Raw genomic sequence first — 23136 nt, forward strand, 5'->3', positions numbered from 1 at the left:
TTCGACACCAGCCTGGCCAACATAGTGAAACCCCGTCTCTACTAAAAATACAAAAAATTAGCTGGGCAAGGTGGTGAGTGCACATAATCCTAGCTACTTGGCAGGCTGAGGCAGAAGAATCACTTGAACCTGGGAGGTGGAGGTTGCAGCAAGCCAAGATCGCACCACTGCACACCAGCCCGGGTGACAGTGTGAGACTCCATCTCAAAAAAAAAAAAAAAAAAAAAAAAAAAGGCCGGGAGCAGTGGCTCATGCCTGTAATCCCAGCACTTTGGGAGGCCGAGGCGGGCAGATCACAAGGTCAGGAATTCGAGACCATCCTGGCTAACACAGTGAAACCCCATCTCTACTAAAAATACAAAAAAAAATTAGCCGGGAGTGGTGGTGGGAGCCTGTAATCCCAGCTACTCAGGAGGCTGAGGCAGGAGAATCGCTTGAACCCAGGAGGCGGAGATTGCAGTGAGCTGAGATTGCGCCACTGAACTCCAGCCTGGACGACAGAGTGAGACTCCGTCTCAAAAAACAAAAAAAGAGAACTTGCCTCTGCTGCGAGGAGTGTAGGGAGCTGGCAGTCTCCAGCTACAGCACCTTCCTATTGCTGCGGCATTTGAGCTGAGGCCTGGCCACTTCTGCCCAACATGAGATTCCTTTAAATGGGCAATCTTTGCTCTGAAACTCCCAGAGGGTGGGTCTGTCAGAGCAGCCTCACAGTCAGAGGCTCCTGCTGGTTATTTCTGCAACCTTCCCACCTCACATGTGACAGCTCTGCATTATGAGAAGGCTCTCCCTACTTTGTCTTTCACAGGTGTCATGCCAATAATCCTCCTGCACCCCAACACCCTCTCAAGGTCTGCTGACTACAGGGAGAGGGTCCCTAGCCAATGCTGTGTGCCCTGGGGAGGCCAGAGGAAGAGGAGCTGCTTGGGGTACAGCCACACAGGCAGGGGCCTGGAAGAGACTGGACACAGGCAGGGGTTGTGGAAGTGTGAACAGAAGCTTGTTCAAACCAGCCTGGGCCTACTCGCCCCACTCTGCTCACCTTCAACTCCGACTTCTTCTCTAAGGCCTTGGCGATGACCCTGGCTGCTTCCACGCCCACTGTGTTGCCTTCCAGACGCAGAGCCTCCAAGCTGTCAAAGTCTTCAATCTCTTTAATCACATCTTTAGCTGCCAGGGACCAAAGAGCAGAACCTTAGGCTTTTGGAATCACAAACAGCTAAGATAGGAGAGAGGTTGGCAACCACCTTGCCACTCAACAGTCTATGGTGCACCTACCATGCAATGAGCCTTGGCTTACAGAGAATCAGACAGGCTCATGGTCCAGAGTACAGAGCTATGCAGATGATTTCTCTGTAATGAGTGTTAAAACCAGGCATGTAGAGAGGCTTGGGAGCCGAGGGAAAAGAGCAACTGGATGCTCACAGCAAAGAAGACTTTGCCAAGTAGGTGGTGTGTGTGGAGCCTCCAAAGATGGGCAGTGTACCAGGCCAAGCAGAGAAACGGCACCCAAGCCAGAGGGCCAGCAGGCACGATGGCACAAAGGCTTTCATTGTTAAGTGATTCATGTGTGGGGTGTTTGTCCACTACTGTACTATTTTATTTTGATGAAACATTCCAAACCACCTAAATGTCCATCAAGAGAAGACAGAAGACCCAGTGCAGTGGCTCACGCCTGTAATCCCAGTACTTTGGGAGGCTAAGGCAGGTGGATTGCTTGAGCCCAGGAGTTTAAGACCAGCCTGGGCAACATGGTGAAACTCTGTCTTACTAAAAATACAAAAATTAGCTGGGCGTGGTGGTGGGTGTTTGTAATCCCAGCTACTCGGGAGGCTGAGGCAGGAGAATGTCTTGAACCTGGGAGGAGGAGGGTGCAGTGAGCCGAGATCATGTCACTGCACTCCAGCCTGGGAGACACAGCAAGACTCCATCTTAAAAAAAAGTCAGGCATGGTGGCATACGCCTGTAATCCCAGCATTTTGGGAGGCCAAGGCAGGCGGATCACAAGGTCAGGAGTTCAAGACCAGCCTGACCAATATAGTGAAACCCCATCTTCACTAAAAATACAAAAATTAGCTGGGCGTGATGGCACATGCCTGTAATCCCAGCTACTCAGGAAGCTGAGGCAGGAGAATCACCTGAACCTGGGAGGCGGAAGTTGTAGTGAGCCGAGATCACACCACTACACTCTAGCCTGGGCGACACAGTGAGACTCTGTCTCAAGAAAAAAAAAAAAAAATTAGGCTGGTGTGGTGGCGTGCACCTGTAGTCTCAGCTACTTGGGAGGCTGAGCTGGGAGGATCAGCTGAGCCTGAGAAGTTGAGGCTGCAATGAGCCATGATCATGCCATAGCACTCCAGCCAGGGGGACAGAGCAAGACCCTGCCTTCTCAAAACAAAACAAACAAAAAAAGAGAGACAGGAAGACAGAGAGGAGGACAGAGGTTCACTGTGGCACGTTACACAAATAGTTATACCAGCACTGCTATGAAAGATGACACAGGTGTTTCTGACTTGGAAAAATCTGTTATAGCAATAAGTGAAAAATTAGGTTACTCAAGCATTTGGGCTGATCACTCTTTAAAAACATATGTATTCACACACAAACACACATGCACACATGTGCATAAAACAAGGTCTAGAAACATAGAAACCAAATGCTATAGCAGTTCTCTCTAGCTGGTAGGATAATGGGTGATTGTGTGTTTTTAACTATTTGAAGTAAAATGTTCTCAATATATCAGGTTATATAGCAGCTTTTAAAAGATCTATAATATAATCCCAATTAAAAACAAAATGGGCTGGGAGTAGTGGCTCACACCTGTAATCCCAGCACTTTGGGAGGCTGAGGCCTGAGGATCACCTGAGGTCAAGAGTTTGAGACCAGCCTGTCCAATATGATGAAACCCTGTCTCTAACTAAAAATACAAAAATTAGCCGGGTGTGGTGGTGGATGCCTGTAATCCCAGCTATTAGGGAGGCTGAGACAGGAGAATTGCTTGAACCTGGGAGGCAGAGGTTGCAGTGAGCCGAGATCGTGGCATTGCACTAATCCCTGGGCAACAAGAGCGAAACTCCGTTTCAAAAAACAAACAAAACAAAATGAACTCAGCTATGTTCAGGAAAAAAAAAAAGACTAGGCTGGGCGCGGTGGCTCACGCCTGTAATCCCAGCACTTTGGGAGGCCAAGGCGGGCGGATCGTGAGGTCAGGAGTTCAGGAGTTCAAGAACAGCCTGGCCAACATGGTAAACCCCGTCTCTACTAAAAATACAAAAATTAGTTGGGCATGGTAGCGCATGCCTGTAATCCCAGCTGCTCGGAAGGCTGAGGCATAATTGCTTGAACTGGGACCCAGGAGGCGGAGGTAGCAGTGAGCGAGATCTTGCCACTGCACTCCAGCCTGGGCTACAGAGCGAGACTGTTTCTCAGAAAAAAAAAAAAAAAGACTGTGTTAGAAATAAAATGCCCTGAAAGTAATAGTAGTTATATCCCTGGGGTTATATGAAAGTGAGGATTTTTTTTTTTTTTTTTTTTTTTTGAGACGGAGTCTCGCTCTGTTGCCCAGGCTGGAGTGCAGTGGCGGGATCTCGGCTCACTGCAAGCTCCGCCTCCCGGGTTCACGCCATTCTCCTGCCTCAGCCTCCCAAGTAGCTGGGACTACAGGCGCCCGCCACTACGCCCGGCTAATTTTTTGTAGTTTTTAGTAGAGACGGGGTTTCACCGTTTTAGCCAGGATGGTCTCGATCTCCTGACCTCGTGATCCGCCCGCCTCGGCCTCCCAAACTGCTGGGATTACAGGCGTGAGCCACCGCGCCCGGCCGAAAGTGAGGATATATTTTTTCCCTGTTCTTTGAATGTTTCTGTATTCTATAATAAACCTGCATTAATTGTATAATCTGAACAAAACCAAAACTTACATGAAACAAAAAGTTGAGTCTGGCTGGTACAGGATGGAGTAGGGTGACATGTGGGAGGGAAGAGATAGAGATGGGTATGGGAGATAAAGTTTGAACTTGACCTTCTGGTCAAGAAGGGTCTTGAGAAAGGACTTATAACCTAGCAGGGGCTCCCTAAGAAGTTGTCCAAGGTGGGTCCAAGTTTCCCTGGTTGGGCCAGAACCCAAGGATGGCTCACTGATGCGGGTACCTTCACTTCCAGATGCCAGGGGATTCAGGGTTGGTCAGTGCCAGCCAAGCCTTGGCAAGGGATGAAAAGACTTCCTGGGTGCTCTTAAAGTAAAAGTGAGACCTCTCCCTGCCTTACTTCCCAGAGCCTTTTCACTTGTTTTCATAGAGTATATTCACATTTTGCCTTCACTTAGTTACCTGGGTATATCATTCCTATTCCAGATTTGCTGCTTCTTAGGAGCTGGGTAAGCTGGGCACCCCTGGGGACTTACAAAATGGGAGACACCACATTCAGCCTGTGCTGGGAGAGTAAAGAAGTTAACTGGATGGATTTCAGAGCCAGCCAAACTTGAGTTTTTTTTTTTTTTTTTTGAGATAGTCTCGTTCTGTCACCGAGGCTGGAGTACAGTGGTGCCATCTCGGCTCACTGCAACCTCCGCCTCCCGGGTTCAAGCGATTCTCCTGCCTCAGCCTCCGGAGAGTAGCTGGGATTACAGGTGTCCACCACCACGCCCGGCTAATTTTTGTATTTGTAGTAAAGACAGGGTTTCTCCATGTTGGCCAGGCTGGTCTGGAATTCCTGACCTCAGGTGATCTGCCCACCTCGGCCTCCCAAAGTGCTGGGATTACAGGCGTGAGCCACCGCACCTGGCCCAAACTTGAGTTCTAATCCCAGCTCTACTCATTAAAGCTGTGCCCTTAGGCATGTCATACCACCTCCCTAAACCTCAGTTTTCCAATCTGCAAAATGGAAATGCAATCTATCTCAAAGGATTTTGTGAAGATAAACTGAGATACTATTTATCTGGCACTTAATACCCTTATCTGACACGGTGTTCAATAAATGGCATTTGCCATCAAATCTCTGTTTCCTAAACGGAGCTCAATGTCTAATTAGAAGCACAGGAATAGGGATTTCACTGAACCTCTGTGAAAATCCTAGCTCTGCTATTTATCAAATGTGTGACCTTGGTCAAGTTACTTAAAGTCTCCTAAATTCCTTTTTCTCATTTATAAAACAGCAACATTCCAATCTATCTCCCACAAGGGTGACGCAAGCATCAAAAGTGATAAACGAGGTCAAAGTGGGCGGATCACCTGAGGTCAAGAATTCAAAACCAGCCTGGCCAACATGGCAAAACCCCGTCTCTACTAAAAATACAAAAATAAGGGGCCGGGCACGGTGGCTCACGCCTGTAATCCCAACACTTTGGGAGGCCGAGGTGAGAGGATCATGAGGTCAGGAGATCGAGACCATCTTGGCTAACTAACACGGTGAAACCCCGTCTCTACTAAAAATACAAAAAAATTAGCCGGGCGTGGTGGCGGGCGCCTGTAGTCCCAGCTACTCAGGAGGATGAGGTGGGAGAATGACATGAACCCAGGAGGCGGAGCCTGCAGTGAGCCAACATCATGCCAGTGCACTCCAGCCTGGGTAACAGAGCGAGACTCCGTCTCAAAAAAAATAATAATAATAAAAATACAAACACAAAAATAGGCTGAAGGCCAGACACAGTGGCTCACGCCTGTTATCCCAGTACTTTGGGGGCTGAGGCGGGCGAATCACCTGAGGTCAGGAGTTCTAGACCAGCCTGTCCAACATGGTAAAACCCCATCCCTACTAAAATACAAAAAATTAGCGGAGCATGGTGGTGGGTGCTTATAGTCCTAGCTACTCAGGAGGCTGAGGCAGGAGAATGGCGTGAACCAGGGAGGCAGAGCTTACAGTGAGCCGAGATTGCACCACTGCACTCCAGCCTGGGTGACAGAGCACGACTCCATCTCAAAAAAAAAACAAAAAGAAAAGAAAATTAGCTGGGCATGGTTGTACACACCTGTAGTCCCAGCTACCCAGGAGGCTGAGGCATGAGAATTGCCTGAACCCAGGCAGAGGTTAAAGTGAGCTGAGATTGCACCACCACACTCCAGCCTGGGCAACAGAGCAAGACTATGTCTCAAAAAAAAAAATTAGCCAGGCGTGATGGTGTGAGCCTGCAGTCCCAGCTATTTGGGAGGCTGAGGCAGGAGAATCGCTTGAACCTGGGAGACAGAAGTTGCAATGAGCCAACATCGCACCACTACACTCCAGCCTGGGTGGCAGAGTGAGACTCATCTCAAAAAAAAAAAAAAAAGCCGGGCACAGTGGCTCACGCCTGTAATCCGAACACTTTGGGAGGCCAAGGTGGGCAGATCACCTGAGATGAGGAGTTCGAGAGCATCCTGACCAATATGGCAAAACCCTATCTCTACTAAAAATACAAAAATTAGCCGGGTGTGGTGGTGGGCGCCTGTAATCCCAGCTACTCAGGAGGCTGAGGCAGGAGAACTGCTCGAACCCGTGAGGCAGAGGTTTGCAGTGAGCTGAGATCGTGCCACTGCACTCTAGCCTGGGTGACAGAGACTCCATCTCAAAAAAAAAAAGTGATAAATGCACAGGGAGGAAGTCTATAAACGTTAGACCTTATGGAGATGTTAGGAACATGCATCAGCACGCTCCCAGCTACCCAAGGACTCAAGCAGCCTCCGACCTGGAGAGGAGAACAAGGCTGCCTACACAACATGACAACCAGGCATGTCCAGACCAGTTCCCCTGGTTGGGCCAGAATCCCAGGAGGCCTCACTTGATGCAGGTGCCTTCACTTGCAGGTGCCAGGTGATTCAGGGTTGGTCAGTGGCAGCCAAGCCTTGACAAGGGATGAAAAGACAGGGTCTGCTCTCTGGTTCCTAGTTTTCTGTGGTTGCAATACCTGTATACACACAGACAGCCATCCCTCTCCCAGGTACATCTGGTTGCATGAACCAGCATCTCCCAAGAGGGCCCAGGTTGTTTTAATGCAGCTCCACCAGAGCCTCAGCTCTGGGGAAAGCTGCAGCTATTCCCAGGCCTGCCTGGGATCATGGGGGTTAAGGGCAAGGGTGGGGACAACACCGGATATTAAGTCAGAGTCAGAGGCTGTATCTTGGGACTGGCACTAACTGTGGCCCCTCATTACCTATCATCCCCTCCTGAGAAAGAAAGGGCAGGGCACAAAGGGATGCCCAATACAAACATGGAAAGTGCAGGGGAGCTTGCTCCTGGGCAAATGATCTCTGAGCCTCATTGTTAGAATAGGCCCAATGATACCTCACAGAGCTGCTGGGACAAATAATGGAGACAATGTAGCAGAAAGAGCCTGACAACCAGTAAGAGTTCAGTACACTCCCTCTCCTCCCCTGGACACACCAGTGCACAACTTCCAGAAACTCACCATCTTCTGCAGTGTTGAGTTTGAGGCTCTTGCCTTTGAAACTCAGCTGTCCCCCGGCCACCTGAGTCTTGGCAAGTGTCTCTGCCAGCTTGGCAATGTCTTCCGAGGCCATGTTGACTAGGCTGGTGGGCTCCCCTGGAGATCTGCAGACTGAGGAGGCCAAAGTTGCAGTAAGAAAAAGGAGTCTCCTGGGGCCCCTGGTTGGGGGCAGGGTAGGACATCAGCCATCTCAGGAGTCTGACCCTACCTCCCCTGCTATGGAGACCCTAGAGATAAATCACTGGAAGAAAGGAAAACAGCATCAGAGAAGGAACAGTTCTAGAAGGTGCAGGAGGTAGTAAAAGAACAGAAAAATCATGTCTTAGCCTATAAGAAGCTACCATCTCATTACAAGTCCTCCTCTGCTAAACTGCCGCAGCTGGACACCCAGCAACACCATGTGAGCTGCCCATTTCCTGGGCCCCTTCAGTGAATGGCAGTCAAGTCCCAAACCAAAGGCTGCAGAGTCTGGCCCAAGCACACACCTGCTTGAGCATCTTGGCTGTTCTCTGTTTGAGGGTCCCATTCCTCAAACAGGACACAGATGGCTATGGGATCCAGATCATTCATCCCAGAGAATGCCCCACCACCCACGCTGGCATGACTCTGGGGTGGGGCACAGGGGTCAGCCCCACTGCACGTCTGGTTTCAACCGTGGCCGGGAGACTGGGCAGGCCACAATGGCCCCTCAGGGGTTTCTAGATCAGAGATCGCCACATCACAACAGCTACCATCATAATAGGACAGGGACAGGGCTGCTACCTATGAAGCCCTACTATACTCAAGTCTACCAGAAGATTTGGGTAGAAATGGGGTTGATAAGCCTCACTATTTATAAAATCAGGAGTGCTGGTAAAAGAAGTAAAGCTGGCCAGGTACAGTGGCTCACACCTGTAATCCCAGCACATTGGGAAGCTGTGATGGGAAGATCGCTTGAGCCCAGCAGCTCAAGACCAGTCTGGGCAACATGGCAAAATCCCATCTCTACTAAAAATAAATACAATTAGCAGGGTATGGTGGTGTGCACCAGTAATCCCAGCCACTGGGGAGGCTGAGGTGGGAGGATTGATTGAGCCCCGGAGACAGAGGCTACAGTGAGCCATGATCTCACCACTGCACTCTAGCCTGGGTGACAGAGTAAAACCCTGTCTCAAAAAAATAAAAATAAAAATAAAAATTAGCTGGGTGTGGTGGCACGTGCCTGTAGTCAGTCCCAGCTACTGGAGAGGCTGAGGCAGGAGGATCATTTGAGCCCAGGAGTTCAAAGCTGCAGTAAGCTATGACTGCCACTGCACTCCAGCCTGGGCAACAGCGGGAGGCTCTATCTCTAAAAGTAACTAAATAAATGAAAGAATTTTTTTTTTTTGAGACGGAGTCTCGCTCAGTCGCCCAGGCTGGAGCACAGTGGCGCCATCTGGGCTCACTGCAAGCTCCGCCTCCAAGGTTCATGTCATTCTCCTGCCTCAGCCTCCTGAGTAGCTGGGATTACAGGCACCCACCACCATGTCCAGCTAATTTTTTTGTATTTTTAGTAGAGACAGGGTTTCACCGTGTGTTAGCCAGGATGGTCTCGATCTCCTGACCTCGTGATCCACTCGCCTCAGCCTCCCAAAGTGCTGGGATTACACGCATGAGCCACCACGCTTGGCCAATAAATGAAAATTTTTAAAACAAGTAAAGCTTTGAGAACTCCTGCGCCTGCTCATGGTACTCCAGCTTTACTTGGAGTACATGTGAGATTAAATGTCTCAATGTGTACTGCCTATAAATTGAAGCCAGCTATATTAGACAGGAACGTGGAACATCACTACATACCTGAATAGTGTTTACTTTGTGGTATGAATAAACGTATCTGTGAGATGCTCCAAAAAAAGAAAAGAAACAGCAAGTAATCAGGAGAGACCAAGGAAGCAGATATGAGGGGCAGAACTAGGGGGTGCTATCCGAAAGGCCTCCTCCTACAACCTCCTCATTCTCAGATACAGTTGTGATACCCTGAATCCTCCCACCCCTAGGCTTCCTCTGGGTTCTAACTTATAACCCTGGTTTGTCTGCCTTTATCAATAAGCATGAATTATTATCCTGGGTAAGGTGTCCACTCATTCATTCAAAAACACATTGATTACTACTGTGTGCTGGATGTTGTTCCAGGTCAGCAGTATAGCAGTAAAGGAAGCATAAACCCTGACCTCTTGAAGCATATGTTCTAAATGACACATTTAGTATGTGATTTAAAAAAAAAAGGGGGGGGTTGGGGGGCCGGGAGTGGTGGTTCACGGCTGTAATCTCAGCACTTTGGGAGACCGAGGCAGGTGGATCACGAGGTCAGGAGTTCAAGACCAGCCAGGCCAACATGGTGAAACCCCGTCTCTACTAAAAATACAAAAATTAGCTGGGCGTGGTGGCACACGCCTTTAGTCCCAGCTACTCGGGAGGTTGAGGCAGGAGAATTGCTTGAACCCGGGAGGCGGAGGTTGCAGTGAGCCAAGATCGCGCCATTGCATTCCAGCCTGGCGACAGAGCAAGACTCCAACTCAAAACAAACAAATAACAACAACAACAACAAAAAGGCATTAACAACAACAACAAAAAGGCATTATTAGGAAATAGTTAAATAAAGATATCAGGGATTGGGCCATGCACACATCTGGGGGAACATGATTCCTGCAAAGGGAATAGCAAATGCAATGGCTCTTGTAGGGGCAGAGGGTTGGAGAAACTGCAACAGGGCCAGTGGGGCTGAAGCACAGAGAGAGAGGAAAAAAACAAGGTAAGAGAAGAGACAGTTAACAAGGGGCCCAAGTCATAAAGCCCATTTGAAGAACAGTGGCTTTCGCTATAAGTGACAAGGAAAACCACTGAAGTTTTTAGCAGAAAGCAGATGTCATCTGACGTACATTTTGACAGGATCACTCTACTTGCCACATAGAGCCTGGCATTTAGAAGGTGCTCAAGAAACGACCAGTTGAAATTGCATAAAAATTAACCAGGCCAGGGCCGGGCGCAAAGGCTCACACCTATAATCCTAGTACTTTGGGAGGCTGAGGTGGGCGGATCACGAGGTCAGGAGATCGAGACCATCCTGGCTAACACGGTGAAACCCGTCTCCACTAAAAATACAAAAAATTAGCCGGGCCTGGTGGCGGGGGCCTGTAGTCCCAGCTACTCGGGAGGCTGAGGCAAGAGAATGGCATGAACCCGGTAGGTGGAGCTTGCAGTGAGCTGAGATTGCGCCACTGCACTCCAGCCTGGGCAACAGAGCGAGACTCACCTCAAAAAAATAAAATAAAATAAAATAAAATAAAAATTAACCAGGCCGGGTGCGGTAGCTCACGCCTATAATCTCAGCACTTTGGGAGGCTGAGGTGGGTGGATTACCTGAGGTCGGGAGTTCGAGACCACCCTGGCCAACATGGAGAAACCCTGTCTCTACCAAAAATACAAAATTAACCGGGCGTGGTGGCACATGCCTGTAATCCCAGCTACTCAGGAGGCTGAGGCAGGAGAATCGCTTGAATCTGGGAGGCAGATGTTGGGGTGAGCTGAGATCGTGGCATTGCACTCCAACGTGGGCAACAAGAGTGAAACTCCGTCTCAAAAAAAAAAAAAATTAACCAGAGTCGGGTGTAATGGTTCACTCCTGCAATCCCAGCATTTCCGGAGGCTGAGGTGGGCGGATCGATTGAGCACAGGAGTTAGAAACCAGCCTGGGCAGTATGCCGAAACCCTGTCTCCACTAAAAATACAAAAACTAGCTGGGTGTGGTGGCAGGTGCCTGCAGTCCCAGCTACCTGGGATGTAAGGTGGGAGGATCACTTGAGCCCCGTAGGTGGAGGCTACAGTGAGCTGAGATCTTGCTGCTGTACTTCTGGAGACCCTGTTTCAAAAAATAAATTAACCAGAAACCAGCCCAGTGCAATAACTCACACCTGTAATTCCAACATTTTGGGAGGCTAGGCGGGAAGATCACTTTAGACCAGGGTTCGAGACAAGCCTGGGCAACAGAATGAGACCCTGTCTCCACAGAAAAATTTAAAAATTAGCCAGGTGTGATGGCATCTGTAGTCCCCATGACTTGGGAGGTTGAGGTGGGAGGATCGCTTGAGCCCAGGAAGCCGACGCTGCAGTTCAGCGGTGATCGTTCCACTACACTCCAGCCTGGGTGACAGAAGGAGACCGTCTCTAAAAAGATAAAAAAATTTAAAGAAAAACCAACAAAAAAATTAACCTGAAACCCCAGCATCTCTTGCAGTTCTGAGATGGGACAATTTGAGGGTAAAAGGTGGTGGTGAAGCCTCCAGATAGAATAGGGACAGAACTTCTCAGCTGAACGGGGGCCCATTCCTCAGTCCAAGAGAGAGCGAGACAGAGATGCACCCCTCCACACTCACTTTATAAACCAAGAAACTGGAGCACAGAAACGTAAATTGATTTGTCCAAGGTCAGCAAAGGATCAGCGCCAGAGCAAAAGCAAAGGGCTAATAGAGAAACATCCTCTCCCCGCTCCGCAGCAACGTCAGAGACTTTCTGAGGTGAGATGCATGCTCCTGCAAAGCGTCAGCAGTGACTCACATCGATTCCAGGGACAGCGGCGCCAGCCCGGGGCCCCCGCGGGCGTGGGCCTGCTGGGAGGTGGCTCTGCGGGAGCGACGCGCGAATACAGGCCGCAAATGATAGGCGGGCGGCGCAGGAGCCCCATCTGGAATCCCCGGCGGACTCGCACCGCCTCCGGTTGACAACAATGCTAATATGAGACGCCACTGCTAGCAGCTGCAGGCTGAGCTGCTCTGGCGAGTCAGACGCCCTTTAAGCCTCAGTTTCCCCATTTGTGAAAGGAGCCAGCGCCGCTCAACAACCCCACTCCCACCGCCACCCCTGGGGCGCTCGGCCGTCGAAGGCTAAGTGAAGAAGGCCGAGGGGGCAGGCAGAAGGCGCACACGGGCGCCACGCCCTCCTCGCCCCGCACCCCTGTTCCAGGCAGGTGACGGGGAAAGGAAAGGGACCCTGACTCTACCGTAAACAGGCGGCGCCGCCGCGTGGGGGGAATCGAGCGCGCGCCTCCGCCCTCTGGGGCGGGGACGGATTTAGGGTCCGGGTCAGGCCGGGGTCGCCACCTCCGGATCCAGCGGTCCAGATGTCCAGCCGGCTAGTCTGTTAGCTCTCTCGAGCTCCCGGCCTCACGCGCTTCCAGCACCACCTGCTCTCCGCACCGCGGCGGATGATGGCGGAGGAGGAGGATTTTGAAAGCCGGCAGTTTCTTTGCTTCGATTTGATTTGTTCGAGGCCCCGGCCGGCTTGCCCTCGCCCCGCTCGCGCGGCCTCTCGGGTAGAGTAGTCCGGTTCCCCATCTGGGAGCGCGATGGGGCGCGCACCGCGAACTACCCGTCCCATGGCGCACCGCGCGCAGAGCGTCCTCCACCGCCCTCCTCTTCGCCCTCCCCTGGTGGCTTCTGGCTCTTTCTCGCAGAGACCGCAGGGAGGTGTTCAGCCGGGAGCGCCCAGAGACTACAATTCCCAGAATGCGTTGCACCCAGGTCCCTCAGCTCTTCCGGAAAGGTTTTGTTCGCGTAACTTTGTTGATAACAGGTACTGCTGGCTGCTGGGTCTCTTGGGCAAGACACAGGTATCCATTTCCCGAAAGAAAAGACTCTTTTCCGTCCCATGAAACTGAAAGGGCATTCGAAGGCTTCCACATAAATATGCACAAATTACCTGATAATTAAAAAGGGGAAATAGTAACTATCGTAGAGAAGCTCCGCAGACACCACTTGAACGGCCACGTTAACATCAACAGCAGGACAAGCTGACATTCATCGCACGCTTTCTGTGTGATGCACTGAGAAAAACACGGCGTCACCGTCCGGTCTATAATGCATGACCTTAGTCTAATCATGAGAAACCCAAGCTGAGGGACATGGTACAGAATAACTGATCTGTACCCTTCCGGAAATGTCTGTATTATGTAAGACAAAGAAAAACTGAGGAACTGTTGCCGATTACAGGAAACGAAAAAGACAACTGAATGCAAGACATGGTCCTGGATCGGATCCTGGGTGGGGATTGCTATAAAGGACAATACTGAAACAGCAAAACTTGACTATATTAGATAATAGTATTGTATCAATGTTAAATTTATTAATTTTGATTATGGTACAGGGTTATGTAAGAGACTGCCCTTGTTCTTGGAAAAAAATGCTGAAATAATTAGGGACAAAAAGGACATGATGTCTGCAACCTTTATGGTTAAAAGAAATATACCTATACATATACATAGAGAAAGCAGAGACACAAATGTGGCAAAATGTTAATCAGTTAATCTGGTTGAAGAATATGGGAGTTCTTTGAACATTTTTGCAACTTTTCTGTAGGTGTGAATTTAAGCATAAAAACACAAACAGCGTTTTTTTTTTGTTTTTTTTTTTTGAGATGGAGTTTCACTCTTGTTGCCCATCTTGGCCTCCCAAAGTGTTGGGATTATAGGCGAGAGAGTGTGAGACCAGCCTGGGCAACATGGTCAAACCCTGTCTCGACAAAAAATACAAAAATTAGTTGGACGTGATGGTGCAAGCCTGTAGTCTCAGCTAAGGGCCTGAGGCAGGAGGATCTGGAGCCTGGGAGCTTGAGGCTGCAGTGAGCCGTGATTGCACCACTGCATTTCAGCCCTGGCGACAGAGCAAGACCTTGTCTCAAAAACTGAAAAAAGAAAAAAAAAAAAAGTTAAACAGATCATGCAGGCTGGGCGCAGTGGCTCACACCTGTAATCCCAGCACTTTGGGAGGCCGAGGCGGGCGGATCACCTGAGGTCAGGAGTTTGAGACCAGCCTGACCAAAATGGAGAAACCCCGTCTCTACTAAAAATATAAAATTAGCTGGGCATGGTGACGCATGCCTGGAATCCCAGCTACTCGGGAGGCTGAGGCAGAAGAATCGCTTGAACCCGGGAGGCGGAGGTTGCAGTGAGCCGAGACGCACCATTGCACTCCAGCCTGGGCAACAAGAGCGAAACTCCGTCTCTAAATAAATAAATAAATTAATTAATTAATTAACAGATCATGCCATATCCTTTTACACACAGCTCATTTAATCTTCACCACCACAAGGGAAGTGGGCATCATTACCACCCTTCCCAGCACAGAGATGAGAAAACTGAAGCTCTAGACAGAGTGTAACTCTCCCAGTTCTCAAAGTTCCTGAGATGTGGATCCTCTTTCCACCTTCCCTCTCCTTTTTACCTACAAGGCCCATGTCAAATGCTACTTCATGAGTCTCTCCCTCCTGCAGGTGCCCACAGCAAGATGCAAAGCCCCACAGCAGTTGGCCTGGGACTCTGGGGCTCTTTGACAGAGTTAACACTGTTCTTGGCAGTTTCCTCCTCAGCCTGGGAGGGTCTCCAGAGCAGACGCTGTATCCATCTGGGCAGTATCTTCTCTGGGCCTGGCCTGTCATAGGTGCTTCAGGTTTCCCCATTTGAACCAGATACCAGTCGGGTTACCGGATGTTTGCTTAAAATGAGTCATAGGCTTCCTGCTATTCCTGTGCTGCTTCCAGCTAGGACTGATCGAATCAGTCTGGATTTTCCTTGGGGTGATCCGCAGGCTCCCTTTTCCAATTTTACTTCTTGAGACTTTCCTTGGCCCTCACACAGAGACCTCCCAAAGGGAAGAGGAAGGTGGGCAGGGGAACATCTTAGCTGATCCCGTCCTCATCCAGCTGATAGGACATTGGGTTTTCGGAACTGGAAGGGAATTCTTAGACAACAGAAATTCAGTGGCCTTCAAGGACCTGGGAGGTAACAGGAAGTCATGGGGCTTGTCGGGGCTTGGTGGGGCTTGGGGGGAGTTAGAGAGTGGATGTTCTGCCTGAAGGTGTTCACATTCGAAGCTAAAAATCACAAACTCAGCCTGACAGCACCCCCTAGCAATCTGGATTCTGTCACTCCTATATCCTGATTTTTTTTTTTTTTTTTTTTGAGATGGAGTTTCACTCTGTTGCTCAGGCTGGAGTGCAGTGGTGCGATCTCAGCTCACTGCAACCTCCGCCTCCCAGGTTCAAGTGATTCTTCTGCCTCAGCCTCCCGAGTAGCTGGGACTACAGGTGCACGCCACCACGCCCGGCTAATTTTTGTATTTTTAGTAGAGACGGTTTCACCATATTGGCCAGGATGGTCTCAAACTCCTGACCTGGTGATCCACTTACCTCGGCCTCCCAAAGTGCTGGGAGTACAGTACAGGCGTGAGCCACTGTGGCCGGCCTCCTGAATCTATCTTAAACCTCTTTACAAATGGGGAGACTGGGGTTTGAAAAGGAACAGGGGGTTTGCCCAAGGGTGCCCAGTGAATCAGAAGAATCAAGAATCATCACTGTTTCTGGCCGGGCACAGTGGCTCATGCCTGTAATCCCAGCACTTCGGGAGGGCGAGGCAGGTGGATCATCTGACGTCAGGAATTCGAGACCAGCCTGGCCAACATGGTGAAACCCTGTCTCTACTAAAAATACAAAAAATTAGCTGGGCATGGTGGCAGACACCTGTAATCCCAGCTACTCGGGAGGCTGGGGCAGGAGAATCTCTTGAACCCAAGAGGCGGAGGTTGCAGTGAGCTGAGATCACGCCATTGCACTCCAGCCTAGGCAACAAGAGCAAAATTCTGCCTCAAAAAAAAGAATCATCACTGTTTCCAAGCAACACACTTATCTTCTCTCTTTCTCCTTCCAGCCCTTTCTCCAGCTTTCTCTCTTTCAAGTTATCACCTGAGAGCTAGTCTGCCTGGCCCAAGAAGTGTAATCATGGCCTTTGACAGATGGATAGTGTCATCCAAGACTATCTTGTTCCTTATTTCAACAAATGAAGAACTAAGGCCCAAGTTACAGTGTGACTTACACATGAGACAAGGCTGAGCATGGTGGCTCACAACCAACTGTAATGCCAGCACTGTGGGAGGCCAAGGCAGGAAGATTGCTAAAGCCCAGGATTTGAGACCAGTCTGGGCAATATAGTGAGACTCTGTCTCTACTAAAAACAATTAGCCAGGCATGGTGGTACATACTTGGAGTCCCAGCTACTAGGGAGGCTGATGCAGGAGGATCCTTGAGCCCAGAACGTGGAGGTTGGTTGCAGTGAGCCATGGTCAGGCCACTGCACTCCAGCCTGAATGATAGAACAAGACCCTGTCTCAAAGAAAAAAAAAAAAGAGAGAGAGAGAGAGAGAGAAAGAGAATAGAAGACAGGTCTCTAGGGTCCTTTTCTATTATTATTATTACTTTTTTTTTTTTTTTTTTGAGATGGAGTCTCACTCTGTCACCCAGGCTGGAGTGCAATGGCACAATCAAGGCTCACTGTAACCTCTGCCTCCCGGGTTCAAACGATTCTCCTGCCTAAGACTCCCGAGTAGCTGGGATTACAGGTTCCCACCACCATGCCCAGCTTATTTTTGCATTTTTAGTAGAGATGGGGTTTCACTGTGTTGTCCAGGCTAGTCTCAAACTCCTGACTCAGGTGATCCACCCACCTTGGCTTCCCAAAGTGCTGGGATTACAGGTGTGAGCCACCATTTCCGGCCTTCTAGGGTTGTTTTCAACATATACACTTCACTTGTGAGTGCGAGGTGAGTTTAAGGGGGAATCAGGAGAAGCAGAGAGTGTTCCAGGCCTTTCTCTGTTGTGCAGCCTTTTTTTGTTGTTTTTGTAAAGAATGTTTCAAAGACAAAAGCAGGCTGCCTCTGATTAGTCTGGTTTACTTAACTGAGTGTTTTAAATTCCATTCTGGTGCCTGAAAACGAACTTAATTGCCAATTGTAAATGGAATAAATAATAATATTTATGTTGGATTCCTGAAAACAGACCAAGGCTGCTGACTTGCCATTTAGTCAGATCAAAAACAAATGGCTAAAGTATGCCAGACATGTGAGGAATGTGGAGGGAAATTCCCAACACCCAACTGGGTGCTCGCCTGCAGCCCCTGGAGAGAGATGGGTCAGCCCACCTGCAGGGCAAGGCAGCCTCCCCCAGGGTCCCCTCCACTGGTGGGAGTGGGTTGGCTGCATCATCTATGAAGGACAGTCGAACCACATCTTTCTCAGGACTCAAACCAAGGGCATCCCACTAGAGCAACTATTTAACCTTGATAAATAACCATCATTACAATAATTCATTTGTTCTACAAATAGTTATCAAACATCTATGTTCCAATAGGCACTGTTCCAGCTCCTGAAAAATCCAGTGATGAAAGAGATTGAAAAGGATGGTGTCTATGGAGGAGTTTTAAATTCTGCTCTAATGTTTATGGAGGATTTCCCGGTACCAAATGGTTTCTGGCAGATTATCTTCTCTTTTAATAATTCCTTCATCGGCTGGGTGCGGTGGCTCCCGCCTGTAATCCCAGCACTTTGGGAGGCCGAGGTGGGCAGATCACGAGGTCAGGAGTTCAAGACCAGCCTGACCAATATGGTGAAACCCTGTCTCTACTAAAAATACAAAAAAATTAGCCAGGCACTGTGGCACGTGCCTGTGGTCCCAGCTACTTGGGAGGCCTAGGCAGGAGAATCACTTGAACCTAGGAGGTGGAGGTTGCAGTGAGCCGAGATCACGCCACTGCACTCCAGCCGGATCAACAGAGTGAGATCCATCTTAAAAAAAAAAAAAAAAAATAGGCCGGGCGCAGTGGCTCACGCCTGTAATCCCAGCACTTTGGGGGGCCGAGGCGGGTGGATCACGAGGTCAGGAGATCGAGACCATCCTGGCTAACACGGTGAAACCCCGTCTCTACTAAAAAAATACAAAAAAATTAGCCGGGCGTGATGGCGGGCATCTGTAGTCCCAGCTACTCGGGAGGCTGAGGCAGGAGAATGGCGTGAACCTGGGAGGCGGAGCTTGCAGTGAGCCGAGATCGCGCCACTGCACTCCAGCCTGGGCGACAGAGCGAGACTCTGTCTCAAAAATAATAATAATAATAATAATTCCTTTTTTCTTTTTTTGGTGGAGTCTCACTCTGTCCCCCAGGCTGGGGTGCAGTGGTGCAATCTCGGCTTCCTGAAAGGAGGTTCTCTTGAACCTCTGCCTCCTGGGTCCAAGAGAGTCTCCTGCTTCAGCCTCCTGAGTAGCTGGGATTACTGACACGTGCCACCATGCCTGGCTAATTTTTGTATTTTCATTGTATTTTACTTTCAATTTATTTTTTAATATTAAAACATTTTTTTTGAGACGGAGTTTCGCTCTCATTGCCTAGGCTGGAGTGTAATGGTGCGATCTCGGCTCACTGCAACCTCTGCCTCCTTGGTTCAAGAGATTCTCCTGCCTCAGCCTCCCGAGTAGCTGGGATTACAGGCGCCCAACACCACGCCTGGTTAATTTTTGGTATTTTTAGTAGAGATCGGGGTTTCACCCTGTTGGCCAGGCTGATCTCAAACTCCCAACCTCAGATGATCTGCCCGCCTCTGCCTCCTAAAGTGCTGGGATTACAGGCGTGAGTCACTGCACCTGGCCTTCATCTTCTCTTTTAATAATCCTCTTGTGGCCGGGTGCAATGTCTCATGCCTGTAATCCCAGGACTTTGGGAGGCCGAGGTGGGTGGATCACGAGCTCAGGATTTTGAGACCCGCCTGACCAACATGGTGAAACCCCGTCTCTACTAAAAATACAAAAAGTAGCTGGGCCCCTGTAATCCCAGCTACTCGGGAGGCTGAGACAGGAGAATCGCTTGAACCCGGGAGGCGGAGGTTGCATGAGCCGAAATCATGCCATTGCGCTCCAGCCTGGTCAACAGAGTGAGACTCCGTCTCAAAATAAATAAATAAATAAATAATCCTCTTGTTCCAAAATGGAAACAATTTTTTTTTTCTTTTTTAATGAAAACTGAGCTGGGCACAGTGGCTCACGCCTGTATTCCCAACACCTTGGGAGGCTGAGGTGTGAGGATTGCTTGAGCCCAGGAGTTCCAGACCATCCTGGGCAACACAGCAAAACTCTGTCTCTACAAAAAAATTGTCTAGCCGGGCGCGGTGGCTCACGCCTGTAATCCCAGCACTTTGGGAGGCCGAGGCGGGCGGATCACGAGGTCAGGAGATTGAGACCATCCTGGCTAACATGGTGAAACCCCGTCTCTACTAAAAATACAAAAAATTAGCCAGGCGTGTTGGCGGGCGCCTGTAGTCCCAGCTACTTGGGAGGCTGAGGCAGGAGAATGGCGTGAACCCGGGAGGCAGAGCTTGTAGTGAGCCGAGATCGCGCCACTGCACTCCAGCCTGGGTGACAGAGGGAGACTCCTCTCAAAAAAAAAAAAAAAAAATTATACAAAAAGTTAACCAGCACGGTGATGCACATCTGTAATCCCAGCTACTCAGGAGACTGACGGGGTAGGATTGCTTGAGCCCAGGAGTTGAAGGCTGAAGCGAGCTGTGATCTCACCACTGTGCTTCAGCCTAGGCAACGGAGGGAGAACCTGTCTCAAAAGTAAATAAATAAATAAATAAAATGAAAACTGTCAATAATCTGTTTAGTATAAATGCAAAAGAGCATTAAGAAATAATTTTTAGGCTGGGTGCAGTGCCTCACGCCTGTAATCCCAGCACTTTGGGAGGCCGAGGTGGGCGGATCACAGGTCAGGAGATCGAAACCATCCTGGCTCACACGGTGAAACCCCATCTCTACTAAAACTACAAAAAAATTAGTTGAATGTGGTGGCGGGCGCCTGTAGTCCCAGCTACTTGGGAGGCTGAGGCAGGAGAATGGCGAGAACCCGGGAGGCAGAGCTTGCAGTAAGCCGAGATCGCGCCACTGCACTCCAGACTCTGTCTCAAAAAAAAAAAAAAAAAAAAAGAAAAGAAATAATTTTTAAAATACTTGGTTTTTTAAAAAAATTCCTTTTTCTCTTTTGGTGGATATGGGGTCTCACTATGTTGCCCAGGCTAGTTAGTCTCAAACTCCTGGGATCAAGCAATGCTCCTGCCTCAGCTTCCCAAAGTGCCGGGATTATAGGCATGAGCCACCGTGCCTGGCCCACCTAACTTTTTCGTTAAAAACAAACAAACAGCCCATCCTGCAGTTAGAAAAATCTACTCCTCTCCCTCTCCTTCTCCCTCTCCCTCTCCCCACGGTCTCCCTCTCCCTCTCTTTCCAAGGTCTCCCTCTGATGCCGAGCCGAAGCTGGACGGTACTGCTGCCATCTCGGCTCACTGCAACCTCCCTGCCTGATTCTCCTGCCTCAGCCTGCCGAGTGCCTGCGATTGAAGGCGTGCGCCGCCACGCCTGACTGGTTTTCGTATTTTTTTGGTGGAGACGGGGTTTCGCTGTGTTGGCCGGGCTGGTCTCCAGCTCCTAACCGCGAGTGATGCACCAGCCTCGGCCTCCCGAGGTGCCGGGATTGCAGACGGAGTCTCGTTCACTCAGTGCTCAATGGTGCCAAGGCTGGAGTGCAGTGGCGTGATCTCGGCTCGCTACAACCTCCACCTCCCAGCAGCCTGCCTTGGCCTCCCAAAGTGCCGAGATTGCAGCCTCTGCCCGGCCGCCACCCCGTCTGGGAAGTGAGGAGCCTCTCTGCCTGGCCGCCCATCGTCTGGGATGTGAGGAGCCCCTCTGCCTGGCTGCCCAGTCTGGAAAGTGAGGAGCGTCTCTGCCCAGCCGCCATCCCATCTAGGAAGTGAGGAGCGCCTCTTCCCGGCCGCCATCCCATCTGGGAAGTGAGGAGCATCTCTGCCCGGCCGCCCATCGTCTGAGATGTGGGGAGCACCTCTGCCCTGCCACCCCGTCCGGGATGTGAGGAGCGTCTCTGCCCGGCCGCCCCATCTGAGAAGTGAGGAGCCCCTCCGCCCGGCAGCCGCCCCGTCTGAGAAGTGAGGAGCCCCTCCGCCCAGCAGCCACCCCGTCTGGGAAGTGAGGAGCGTCTCCGCCCGGCAGCCACCTCGTCCGGGAGGGAGGTGGGGGGGTGAGCCCCCCGCCCGGCCAGCCGCCCCATCCGGGAGGGAGGTGGGGGATCAGCCCCCCGCCCGGCCAGCCGCCCCATCTGGGAGGGAGGTGGGGGATCAGCCCCCAGCCCGGCCAGCCAACCCGTCCAGGAGGGAGGTGGGGGGGTCAGTCCCCCGCCCGGCCAGCCGCCCTATCCGGGAGGGAGGTGGGGGGGTCAGCCCCCCGCCCGGCCAGCCTCCCCGTCCGGGAGGTGAGGGGCGCCTCTGCCCGGCCGCCCCTACTGGGAAGTGAGGAGCCCCTCTGCCCGGCCACCACCCCGTCTGGGAGGTGTGCCCAGCAGCTCATTGAGAACAGGCCAGGATGACAATGGCGGCTTTGTGGAATAGAAAGGGGGGAAAGGTGGGGAAAAGATTGAGAAATCGGATGGTTGCCGTGTCTGTGTAGAAAGAGGTAGACATGGGAGACTTTTCATTTTGTTCTGTACTAAGAAAAATTCTTCTGCCTTGGGATCCTGTTGATCTGTGACCTTACCCCCAACCCTGTGCTCTCTGAAACATGTGCTGTATCCACTCAGGGCTGAATGGATTAAGGGCAGTGCAAGATGTGCTTTGTTAAACAGATGCTTGAAGGCAGCATGCTCCTTAAGAGTCATCACCACTCCCTAATCTCAAGTACCCAGGGACACAAACACTGCGGAAGGCCGCAGGGTCCTCTGCCTAGGAAAACCAGAGACCTTTGTTCACTTGTTTATCTGCTGACCTTCCCTCCACTATTGTCCTGTGACCCTGCCAAATCCCCCTCTGCGAGAAACACCCAAGAATGATCAATTAAAAAAAAAAAAAAAAGAAAGAAAAATCTACTTCTGGAGAAACAAATTACCTTCCCATCTCTTTTGTCAGGAAACTCTTGGATGATGTACTGACCAAAACAGGGAATAACCTAACAGAGAGGAAGACAGGGATTTTAGGAAACCGGAGATCACACAGGAAGGAGGTAAAGGGAAATCCCAGGATGATGGCAAAGGGAAGTCCCCAAACAACAGCTGTGCAACAAGAATAAAGAACAATCAGAGGACCTCTTGAGCCCAGAGGTCAAGGCTGCGGTGAGCCAAGGTCGTGCCACTACACTGAAGCCTGGGCAACAGAGTGAGACCCTGTCTCAAAACAGAAAAGGACCTATCAGCCCCAAGTGGAGCAGAACAGAGGGATTTGGGAGGAATGTCCTCAGAAAAAGATATTAAAACACAGTTATCTGATGAGTTTGAAGATGTAAAAAGTTCTACTGAAAGCCATTGTACATAGTGATAGGAAGACATGCCATAGATTAAAAAAATAATAACCTAAGCAAATCAAAATTAGGTAACAAAAGTCCAGGAAAAACAAAAGCTTATAGATGGGAAATGTAGACAGTATACATCACTTAACTTAGAAATGAGCCACCATCGAAAATAATAAAAACACTGATTATGAATTTAAAAACAAACAAACAAACAAACAAGGCTGGGTGAGGTGGCTCATGCCTGTAATCCCAGCACTCTGGGAGGCCGAGGTGAGTGGATCACCTGAGGTCAGGAGTTCAAGACCAGTCTGGCCAACATGGTGAAACCCCATCTCTACTAAAAATATAAAAATTAGCCGGGTGTGGTGGCACATGCCTATAATCCCAGCAACTCAGGAGGGTGAGGCAGGAGAATCTCTTAAACCCAGGAGATGGATGTTGAAGTGAGCCGAGATTGTGCCACTACACTCTAGCCTGGGTGACAGAGTGAGACTCCATCTCCAAAAAAAAAAAAAAAACACACACACATATATCAATGCTATGCATATAAT

The 23136-nt window shown here is 50.1% G+C and overlaps 1 protein-coding gene across 12 annotated transcripts in view, besides 8 other annotated features; it reads right to left on the bottom strand.

Moving 5' to 3' along the window:
- RANGAP1 (Ran GTPase activating protein 1) overlaps nt 1-23136 on the bottom strand; it is a 57591-nt gene that overhangs the window by 28782 nt on the left and 5673 nt on the right. For 2 of the 12 annotated variants that reach the window (XM_005261695.2, XM_011530297.2), the window contains exons 1-3: nt 11984-12627; nt 7373-7522; nt 1040-1167 (exon numbers count right to left, since the gene is read on the bottom strand). In XM_005261695.2, coding sequence (XP_005261752.1) covers nt 1040-1167; nt 7373-7522; nt 11984-12110 — 405 coding nt within the window. In that variant the 5' untranslated portion in view covers nt 12111-12627. Of the gene's footprint in view, nt 1-1039; nt 1168-4322; nt 4458-7372; nt 7653-7896; nt 8084-9226; nt 10223-11202; nt 11283-11340; nt 11594-11802; nt 12628-23136 lie in introns of those variants that run through there. The other 10 variants (XM_017028893.3, NM_001278651.2, XM_006724289.5 and 7 more) reach the window with 10 other exon arrangements.
- Nucleotides 12330-12399: an enhancer, noted in NCBI's record as "active region_19109". NCBI's record gives its function as "activates an Ori minimal core promoter by ATAC-STARR-seq in GM12878 lymphoblastoid cells {active_cell/tissue: GM12878}" and the evidence as "EXISTENCE:reporter gene assay evidence [ECO:0000049][PMID:35858748]".
- Nucleotides 12830-13049: an enhancer, noted in NCBI's record as "active region_19110". NCBI's record gives its function as "activates an Ori minimal core promoter by ATAC-STARR-seq in GM12878 lymphoblastoid cells {active_cell/tissue: GM12878}" and the evidence as "EXISTENCE:reporter gene assay evidence [ECO:0000049][PMID:35858748]".
- Nucleotides 13080-13149: an enhancer, noted in NCBI's record as "active region_19111". NCBI's record gives its function as "activates an Ori minimal core promoter by ATAC-STARR-seq in GM12878 lymphoblastoid cells {active_cell/tissue: GM12878}" and the evidence as "EXISTENCE:reporter gene assay evidence [ECO:0000049][PMID:35858748]".
- Nucleotides 13470-13519: an enhancer, noted in NCBI's record as "active region_19112". NCBI's record gives its function as "activates an Ori minimal core promoter by ATAC-STARR-seq in GM12878 lymphoblastoid cells {active_cell/tissue: GM12878}" and the evidence as "EXISTENCE:reporter gene assay evidence [ECO:0000049][PMID:35858748]".
- Nucleotides 16030-16629: an enhancer, noted in NCBI's record as "H3K27ac hESC enhancer chr22:41685594-41686193 (GRCh37/hg19 assembly coordinates)". NCBI's record gives its function as "activates a minimal SCP1, AML or CMV promoter by ChIP-STARR-seq in primed H9 embryonic stem cells {active_cell/tissue: H9 hESC(primed)}" and the evidence as "EXISTENCE:reporter gene assay evidence [ECO:0000049][PMID:30033119]".
- Nucleotides 17085-17379: an enhancer, noted in NCBI's record as "tiled region #14092; HepG2 Activating non-DNase unmatched - State 6:EnhF". NCBI's record gives its function as "activates a minimal TATA promoter and a strong SV40 promoter by Sharpr-MPRA in HepG2 cells {active_cell/tissue: HepG2}" and the evidence as "EXISTENCE:reporter gene assay evidence [ECO:0000049][PMID:27701403]".
- Nucleotides 17085-17827: a biological region, named in NCBI's record as "Sharpr-MPRA regulatory region 14092".
- Nucleotides 17229-17827: an enhancer, noted in NCBI's record as "H3K27ac hESC enhancer chr22:41686793-41687391 (GRCh37/hg19 assembly coordinates)". NCBI's record gives its function as "activates a minimal SCP1, AML or CMV promoter by ChIP-STARR-seq in naive and primed H9 embryonic stem cells {active_cell/tissue: H9 hESC(naive and primed)}" and the evidence as "EXISTENCE:reporter gene assay evidence [ECO:0000049][PMID:30033119]".

The sequence above is a fragment of the Homo sapiens genome, chromosome 22 (assembly GCF_000001405.40).
Source record: "Homo sapiens chromosome 22, GRCh38.p14 Primary Assembly".
Lineage (NCBI taxonomy): Eukaryota > Metazoa > Chordata > Mammalia > Primates > Hominidae > Homo > Homo sapiens.